Below are 10,274 nucleotides of genomic sequence, written 5' to 3' on the forward strand. Positions count from 1 at the left end.
AGTGGTGTGTTAGAAAGGAAGGCCAGGAGGAACTTGTCGGTGTACAGCGTCAACTCTGTAGCACGAGCAAATGGGATAAAGACTTAAAACAGGCCATTGGATGTTTAAATTAGGAGGTCTTTCATCACTTTTGCTAATCCTATTTTAACAGAGTGATAGAGATAGGAGTCAGATTACAACAGGTTTGGCACTGAATAGAAGGTAAAAAATTAGAGATAAGTGTAGACTTCTATTTCAAGAAGTTTAGAGGCAAAGAGAAGGAGGCAAAAAAGCAATAACCACAGAAAACAAGACTCTCCTGTTTAGAAGTGATAGAAATCTACCCAAAATAGCTTAAGGATATAAAAAAGTGATTGGCTTACTTAACCAAAATATGTGTAGGGAAGGGATGCAGCTGGCCTTAGGAATGGCATAGCCATCTCTTGGTCTCTTCGCTCAGCTTTTCTCTATATTATAGTTTTATTCTCTTGGCAAATTTCTCCAGGAGGACTAGGCTACTGGCAACTTTAGCCTTCCGCTGCTACTTTACAATTAAAGAGAAAACAAGCTTCCCCATCCCAGCTCCAGTTGGAAAATTCCAGGGAAGAATTTCAACTGGTCTCATTTGGATCATATGAACATTCATTGAACTGATCACTATGGCCAAGGCCTTATCATTGGCTAAGCCTGCTTACTCCTAAACCAATCATTGTGATCTAGGCTGATGTGCTTCTGTAAGAAGATGGCAGCTCCCGTATGGAACACATGTTGGATGGAAGAAGAGGTAAGGAGTAAGGAGAAAGAAGCAGGATGTATCAAATATGGCCATGGGGAGAATCACTATGAACAGAACACCTACTCCAAATTTTCTCAACTATAAGAAAGAGAAAACAGCACAGTAGGTTAAATGGTAAATGAAATGAGGGAAAACGAAGACAGTAAATGCAGATTTCTTTTTCTAAAAGGTTGAGGGTCTTTTCTTTTCTTTTCTTTTTTGAGACAGAGTTTCGCTCTTGTTGCCCAGGCTGGAGTGCAATGGCGTGATCTGGGCTCACTGCAATCTTTGCCTCCTGGGTTCAAGCAATTCTCCTGCCTCAGCCTCCCAAGTAGCTGGGATTACCGGCATGCACCACCACGCCCGGCTAATTTTGTATTTTTAGTAGAGATGGGGTTTCTTCATGTTGGTCAGGTTGGTCTCAAACTCCCGACCTCAGGAGATCTGCCCACCTCAGCCTCCCAAAGTGCTAGGATTACAGGCATGAGCCACTGTGCCTGGCCTGGTTAGGGTCATTTTTCTAGAGAGTGGCCTGAGCAGGTGATTTACCTCTCCCTTAGATTCTGAAAGTCCTCATAAACCACTCTAAGAAACATACAATACAAGCAAAAACATTGTAATTACTGTGTAAATTCAGCTAGTCTCCACATTTGCTGGTGAAAAGGAGAAGTCTAGTGGAGAACATGATATTAAAGATACAGGAAAGGGAGGGTGTAGCAAGTTCTAGAAGGCGGCGTAGAAAGTAGATGTGGCCTTTCTTGGAGAAGACAGTCATCTTGTCTCTAAGAAAAATACAAAGGAGGTATATGTAGATATTGATACAGCTTGCTAAGGCGTTACAAATATGTTTAGAGTAGAAGGAATAGAGGAGGAAATACTTTGTACTTCACATAGCCTTTATCTGTGAAGCAAATGGCACAGACTGGTTTAAATGAAAGGGATGGTGTGGGGTGGAGTTAGGAATTTAAAGAGACCAGTGGAAATATCGAACTCCATGATGGAGGGTATGAACAAGAATAGCCTGGGGATAAAGTAAAGGATTTTTGAGCAGCATGATGAACCTTTGATGATAAACCTGAGTCACTTAGGGGAAATGGGATGTTAACTAAACAATCATAAAAGTTCACATTTTGTAACTCTTCCTGTAAGCTGAGCACCATGCTAAGCATTTCTCTTGTACTGCATCGTTCAGCCAGCTCAACCATCTATGAAATGGGTAGTATCATCTTCCTTTACAGATGAGGAAACTAAAACAAAAAGAGGGTCTTGCTCAAGTTCATGCACTTAGAAAGTGGCAGAGGTGAGGTCTGGTTTTAGGCCTCTTCGACCTCAGAGTCAGAGCTCTTACCTCCACAGAACACTTTTCCGCCGGTATCCACTCAGACATGTTCTGGTCCTGCCTCTAGTAAGATGATGCTGTCAGCAGGCTTCTAATGAACAATTTCATTTTTTCAGGTGCTCAGGCTGTCTCCTAGCTGCTTTGCTTACCACATGCTCCAGGGGGATATCAGGGGTCAGGGAAAGCTCAGATCCTAAGGTTACAGCTTTTTACAGCTTCTCTTGGGCTGACTTGTACAGTGAACATTTGCATCCCAGCACTGACCATACCAGCATCATGACCTTGGGCACAACACTCGACTTTTATAGGAATGATGGTGAGGTCATCAGATGGTGAGCAGCAGAAATAAACCAAATGGGCTGTGTGTGTTGGCTCACGCCTGTAATCTGAGCTCTTTGGGAGGCCGAGGTAGGTAGATCACCAGGGTTCAGGAGTTCGAGACCAGCCTGGCTAAGATAGCGAAACCCCATCTCTACTAAAAATACAAAACTTAACCAGGTGCGGTGGCGCACGTCTGTGCTACTTAGGAGGCTGAGGTGGGAGAATCGCTTGAAACCAGAAGGTGGAGTTTGCAGTGAGCCCAGATCATGCCACTGTACTCCAGCTTGGGTGACAGGGCGAGACTCTGTCTCAAAAAAAAAAAAAAAAAAAAAAAAAAAAAAAAAAAAAAGAACCAAATGAACAGAGCCAGATGGTATAGTTATGAACCAAATGAACAGATCCAGATGGTATAGTTGAAGGTACATGAGATTTAGAGTAGAGAACCCAAATTAGAAATGGATCTGCCACTTTTCAGCTCGTTTTGGGCAAGTTATTTAAACTCTGTGTACATCCTTTGGTTTTTTTTTTTTTCCCCTTCACTTTTTAATATGGGACTGAAATATGCTCCTGGCAGGAATGTGTTAAAAATAAGAGATATTTTAAGTAGAGCATCAGAAGAGTGCCTAACATACAGTAGGTGCTCAAATCTTAGTTCTTACATTATTGAGTTATTCGTTACTAGGTGGATGCAGGAGGGCTGTTTGTCTTTACAAAGAATTAGCCAGTGGATTTGTGCTTTTATACCTTCTCTCCTAGTCATATAGACCAATATTACCAAGTAGGGGTAATTTTTGCTTCCCAGGGGACATTTGGTGACGTTTGGAGGTAGTTTTTTTTTGTTTTGTTTTTGTTTTTTGAGAACGGGTCTCACTCTGTTGCCCAGGCTGCAGTGCAGTGGCCTGATCTCGGCTCACTGCAACCTCTGCTCCTGGGTTCATGTGATTCTCCCACCTCAGCCTCCCGAGTAGCTGGAACTACAGGCATGCACCACAATGTCTGGCTAACTTTTGTATTTTTTGGTAGAGATGGGGTTTCACCATGTTGGCCAGGCTGGTTTCGAACTCCTGACCTCAAGTGATCTGCCCGCCTCAGTCTCCCAAAGTGCTGAGATTACAGGCAGGAGCCACTGCTCCCAGCCTGGAGACATTTTTGGTTGTTAACCAGCTGGAGGGGTGCTACTGGGAACTAGTGGGTTTGAGGACAAAAACGGCATTAAGCTTCCTAAATGCACAGGGCAGCCCCCCACAATAAAGAGATTTCTGGCCATAATACCAATGCTGAGAAATCGTGCTGTAGAAGAAAACACTGCTGAAATGAAGCTGGCAGGGAGAAATGGTGTGGGGTGAGATGAAGGAGAAGATTTTTTCCCCTTTCGATATGTAACCCAGGTTCATCAGGTAGAGCTTAGAAAAGGCTCTGTCAGTGGAATACAAGCAGATAGGGTAAACCAGAAGAAGTGGCCTCAAGAATACTGCTGCCTCCTTTCTTTCTCACCACATTTGATGAAGGACAGTGGGGTGTATGTGGCAGCTAGCTGCTATTTACCTCTTTGTTAAGGAACATTGCCTGAGGACTCTGTGGTCAACATTGCCCGGTGTGTAATCAAGACTGTGACCACTTTTTCTGAACTAAAAATTGAGAATGAGTCAAGTATGAATCTATTTATAGGGACGAGCGGACAGGGCTTTTGAAATTCAGACAAGCCTGGAGTTACCAGGTTATATCATTGGAAGACAGAAGACAGGAAGAGCTGTGGGTATGAAACTGTGAGATCCAGGCACAAATCTCAGCTGCTCTAATTACTGGCTGCCTGATCCTAAGACATCTCTAACCTTCTCTAAGCCTCAGTTTCTCCATTTGTAAGTTTCCATTAGTGATACTCAACCTCAAGTGGTTAATGTGAGGTTTAATGACATGATGCATTTGAAAGTGCATTGAAAATTGGTAGGTCTAGTCAGCAAACAAGTTTTAATGAACAATAATAGTGACATATACAAGTTGTGAATATAAAATAGTAAGATTGGCCAGGCACGGTGGCTCACACCTGTAATCCCAGCACTTTGGGAGGCCGAGGTGGGTGGATCACCTGAGGTCAGGAGTTTGAGACCAGCCTGACCAACATGGTGAAACCCCATCTCTACTAAATACAAAAATTTAGCCAGGCGTGGTGCTGCATGCCTGCAATCCCAGCTACTTGGGAGGCTGAGGCAGGAGAATCACTTGAACCCAGGAGACGGAGGTTGCAGTGAGCCGAGATTGTGCCATTGCACTCCAGCCTGGGCAACAAGAGTGAAATTCCATCTCAAAATAATAATAACAATAGCAATAATAAGATTATGGTTTCTGTATTAAAGATACATATTACTGTAGATGGAATTTAGGTACTGCACCAGACATAGGCTTCTTAAGAGAAGGGCCTTTCACTGTTTCGTTCACTTCCTGGCATTTATGCCAAAGAAAAACTACATAGATAAGGTTGGAGTTCTGAGAGAAGATTTTTGTTCTTTCTCTTTTTTTTTTCTTTCTTATTTTGCAAATGTAAATCATATGCAAGGGAGCCCAGCTTTTGAATTAACTGGCTCTCAGAATATAGAGAAAAAGTGAAATGTGTAGTTGAAATTATTAAATGGTAGTTGGCAATTCTGATTAGATGTATTTTGGGCCAGTTTCAATAAACAGAAAGTTCTATCTTTCATTAACATAAAATTTGAAAAACAGGCCCCTGCTCCCAACAGAATGTTCCTGGTTTTTTGTTTGTATGGTTTTTGTGTCTTATCTCGGGGTGGAAAACTTTTGGCAAGGCCCTGTGATTCATTCATGGCTTATTTCTTGGAGTGAAAGTCTTTTTAGAAATGTAAATTTCTTCTGGGGCATGATTGACTACATTCTCTGTCAGGCTAAGTTTTACTATTTTTGCACAGCAGACATTCGATAAATATTTTTTGAAGGAATAGAAGAGGAGGAAGTTGTGAGATAATGCATGTAAGTGATTATCAGAGTGCCTGGCTCACAGTAGTTGCTCAATAAAAGAGAGTTGCCTGGATTTGTAAATGAGGAGGTACTATGAGTAAGAATATTTTTTTAAAGTGTGCTGTGAATTCTGAAGAAGACATGAGAGAAAAGTATTCTGAGGGTTCCTATGAATGCCTTTGCTTTCTTGGTAAAAGGAACAGACATTGATGGAATTGCCTCTACTCTCCTTATTCTTATGTTGAATAAGAATGTGATGCCCAAAATTGTGGCATGAAGTGACAGAGATGAGGCCCAAAGCCACGTGTCAATAAAGGCTGAATAGAAAGCTCAAAGGAGCTTGTGTTCCTGGCAGCATATTGGAGCCAGCATATTAGCCCTGATTTGTGATTATGTAAGCAGAAATAAAACCCCTATTTGTATAAGCCACTAGGTGTTGGAGTCGTCATTATTTACAGCCAGACCTAATCCTAAGGATGCAGCCCACATTAGACTCAGCACCACATCTGTACAACACCTCCTACCACTAACAGGGTGGCATCCTGAATGAAAGAGCAAGATGTTCCTCTATGTCTCCTTTATACTTGCTTTCAATTTTGTTTTTTAGCAAGTCTTGAGTTATATTTTTATTGACATTACACATAGGTTTACCATTTCTTGAACTTACTTTCATCCTGTATTCTCACCCTGTATTCACCAGTGATAACTCATCAGTATAATATATTTAAAAGGAGGGTGATGTCCATACCCAAGTTCCAGGCCCCACTCAGCTGAGATGTTTGTCCGTGCCCCTGAAGGCCACATAAGTTCACAACTGGAACTGCCATATAGGCACTGAGGAAGCAGGTGGAGAATGTCAGCTCTGCCTGCAAGTGCAGAGATGATCTATTCCAAGGGTTCTTTGGAGATACATCATAAATGTCTCAAGGAAGGTGGGTGAGCGGGATGCTGGGAAGGACAGGATATATCCTCTCTTTTCCCTCTCTCTCCTACATTAGAATTTCCCTATATTGATCTGAGTTGTATGACGTACATTAGAAAAAAGGGTTCTATAACTAGAAAACTGTGATTTACAGATCAGTCAGATGAACACCATGGAGGCTAATCTAACAAGTATTTGTTGAGATCCGCTATCTATACAACATCATGACAGGCAGGTCTGCACACTACACAAACCCCAGGATTCAGTTCCCCACACCACAGTGGAAATGCCACCTGGGAACTGTGCAAAAGGTAACCCAAACTGCCACATAGATGGGTAAGAGAGTTTTCTTACCTTAAGGCCCTAACGATTGTGTGTAAGGAAGGAATGGAAAAGACCTCAGACACACTGTGGCAGTTGTGCAAGGCGGTGCAAGAGAAATAGAAATCAATTTTACATAATGGAAGTTTAAAGAGATGATAGGTTCAAAAAGGGGAGGTATCACAAATGTCTTCGTACTGGAAGTAGTAGTTAATATATGGACCTTGAAAGGAGTCTAGAGAACTGTGTGTAGATTAGTCTAGACTGGTGAAAGTGAGATCGATCTTTACTGAGTGTAGGCATAGGTCCTATTTCATTTAAACCTCATGTGAAGCAAGTTTATCATCCCCATTTCACAGATAAGGAAACTGAAAGAAGTAGAAGAATTTGCCCAAGGCCATACAGCTAACACAGGGGTGGGGGACACAGGATTCAAAACCAAATTTAGTTGCTGTCAAAGTCTATGCTCTTTGTAGGTTCATGCTGGAATAACTTCAGGCAGAGGAGAAGGAAACTATCTACGATGTGAGAAGGAAACGATTCTGTAACTGCCCAAGGGGTTCACCTTGCCCACTGCCTGGACAGAGCCTATTCATCAGGACAGGGGAATTGCAATACAGAAAGAGTAATTCATGCAGAGCCAACTATACGGGATACTGGAGTTTTGTTATTACTCAGCATCCCCAAGCATTCGGGGAGCAGAGTTTTTTTGTTTTGTTTTTTTTGTTTGTTTGTTTTTGTTTTTTTAAGATGGAGTCTTGCTTTGTCACCAGGCTAGAGTGAAGTGGCATGATCTTGGCTCAGTGTAACTTCCAACTCCCCGGTTCAAGCAATTCTCCTGCCTCAGCCTCCCTAGTAGCTGGGATTACAGGCATGTGCCACCATGCCCAGATAATTTTTGTATTTTTAGTAGAGATGGGGTTTCACCATGCTGGCCAGGATGGTCTCCTGACTTCGTGATCTGCCTGCCTCAGCCTCCCAAAGTGCTGGGATTACAGGCGTGAGCCACCGTGCCCGGCCTCGGGGAGCAGAGTTTTTAAGGATAACTTGGTGGGTGGTGGGCAAGCCAGTGAGCCAGGAGTGCTGACTGGTCATGGATAAAATTATAGGGAGTCGAAGCCGTCTTCTTGCGCTGAGTCAGTTCCTGAGTTGGGGGGGCCGCTAGATCAGATGAGCCAGTTTATTGATCTGGGTGGTGCCAGCTGATCTATCAAGCGCAGAGTCTGCAAAATATCTCAAGCACTGATCTTAAGAGCAGTTTAGGGAGGGTCAGAATCTTGTAGCCTCCAGCTGCATGACTCCTAAACCATAATTTCTAATCTTGTGGCTAATATTGGTCCTACAAAGGCAATCTAGTCCCTAGGCAAGAAGGAGGTCTGCTTTGGGAAAGGGCTGTTACTGTCTTTGTTTAAACTATAAACTATAAACTGTTTCTCCCAAAGTTAGTTCAGCCTACACCCAGGAATGAACAAGGACAGCTTGGAGGTTAGAAGCAAGATGCAGTCGGTTAAGTTAGATTTCTTTCACTGTCTCAGTCATAATTTTGCAAAGGGGGTTTCAATCCTGTAACTATCTATAACCTGGTTTGAAGACTTATCTAACGCTGATGGCAACCCAGAAAATCAGTGACATGATCCTCACTTTACAGAGAACCCTGTGCCAAGTTCCACCAGTTGTGGTAATGGTGCAGCCTTGGTTTGGTCTGATTTCAGGGCCATTCACCTTCCTGTCATGCACACAGTCACACGAATCAGGAAATAAGAATGGGAACCTCTGTGCGTGCGTGTGTGTGTGTGTGTGTGTGTGTGTAGTATCTGTGTGTGTAGGACAGTAGATTCTGTTACAAGAATGGTGGGAAGTTGACTCTAGCACGGAATGCCAAGTTGAGGAGTTGTGTTAGAAGCTGAAAACTTCGGTGACCCCCTTCTCCTATCTGACTTGTTTTCTGTCAACCATGGGCTTTCTGACAGGTGTGGTCTTCTCTCTGGAAAGTAGATCCTGAAGCAGTGGCTTGTGTTCTGGTATTTATTTTGAGAAGTAATCCCAGAGAACAGGAGTGGGGCAAGGAGAGTGAAATGGAGAAGGAGGGGGAACCATACAGAAGTGTGGTCTTAAGTTGATCACTGCTGCGAGAAGCTGGGACTCAACTTCCCTGGTCCCTTTTAAGGAGCCATGGGGAATGTACTTCAGCATTGTCTGGCTAAGGACCGAGGAAGAGGACATTGTCTACCAGCCTTGAGGAAGGGGACATTGTCTACCAGCCTCGAGCCCCGGAGGGTTAACTCCCTCACACTTGTAGGTCGTGCACATGTGAATGCTGGGCAGGACCCTGCAGGTCTCCTGACAGGAGACTCTGTCAGAAGGCCTCTGGAGCAAGATTCTAAAGCAAAATTCAGCAATCACAGACAGGATGTTGTTTCTTGTCTGATCAATTTACAATTTCTATGAGATTTCTTATAAATGAAATAATGCAATATGGGGCCTTTGTGTCTGGCTTCTTTCACTTAGCAATGTTTTCAAGGTTAGAAAACAAATTTTGAAAGGATTGTTTTTGCTGCACCATCAAGCTATTTGGTCCTGCTTGGTGTTGAAACACTGTCCCTGCAGGTGTCGCTGCTTGCAGAACAGCGGCCCCTGGTGGAAGTGAGGTGAAGTCCACCAGCCCAATTGCACAGACAAACATTTGCCAAGCCACTCTCTGAGGGAAGAAATGGAGGTATGAGAGTTCTTTTACAAGGCCAGGGGAATTTCAAAAAAATAAAACTAGTTTGTCCCTACTACTGAAGCTTTCCTAAAACAAAATTGTATGGGGAAAATATGGCAAACAGGTGTTAGCAATTGTTGGTCTTCATGCTCTGTATTATAAGAATCTGTAAGGTTGAGATAAGTATATGGGGCATTTGCATTCCTTGAGATTACTCCAGTGGGATTTGATGGTCTTATAGGCTAGCCCTAATGAAATAGCAAGTGCATTTGGAGAAATCTATACTTAAAGTTATGTTAAATACCCATAAATTAAGCCTAAATACAGCTGTGCTATTACTCTGGCTATTAGTAGCAATCAAGTGTTTAAGCCCTGAAAATTTTCCCATCAAAATTCAAGTCTATGGCAAACAAGATAATGAAGAAGCATATTCTTATGTTAATAAGGCTATATTAGATCTTGTCCTCCCCACAGTGAGACAATTTAAATAGATCTTTGGACAAATATGTGTTCCCATTATTTTGGTTCCTCCACTACTTCAGTTTCAGCACGTCCCTGGCCACATTTTCTCCTCCTGACATAAAGTTGAACCAAGTACAGTAGAAGAGAGTCACCTAAAAAGAGTTTTTGCAGAGAGCAGGTGAGAAGCTCACATCTACTAATCCGAACAATAGCCCTTTGGAATATGCTTCAGTGGCTCTGTGCACTTCTTTTCAGCAACCAGTATATTGGTGATTACTTAATTATATAATATGCCTGGGTTCTTCCTCATGAGGTTTGTACCTATACCCTGAAATATACATATGTATGTCTTCCGTGAGGGTTATGTATATATAGCCTGCTAGTAGGGCTAAATATAAAAATACACCGTGTTCCCAGAGCCTAGGAGAGTGCCTTGCACGTATTAGGTGCTGAGTAAATATTTTTGGATTGATTGTCTAAA

At 42.7% G+C, this 10,274-nt stretch overlaps 1 annotated feature.

Moving 5' to 3' along the window:
• Positions 9,156-9,205: a silencer, noted in NCBI's record as "silent region_19462". NCBI's record gives its function as "represses an Ori minimal core promoter by ATAC-STARR-seq in GM12878 lymphoblastoid cells {active_cell/tissue: GM12878}" and the evidence as "EXISTENCE:reporter gene assay evidence [ECO:0000049][PMID:35858748]".

Source organism: Homo sapiens, chromosome 8 (assembly GCF_000001405.40).
Source record: "Homo sapiens chromosome 8, GRCh38.p14 Primary Assembly".
Lineage (NCBI taxonomy): Eukaryota > Metazoa > Chordata > Mammalia > Primates > Hominidae > Homo > Homo sapiens.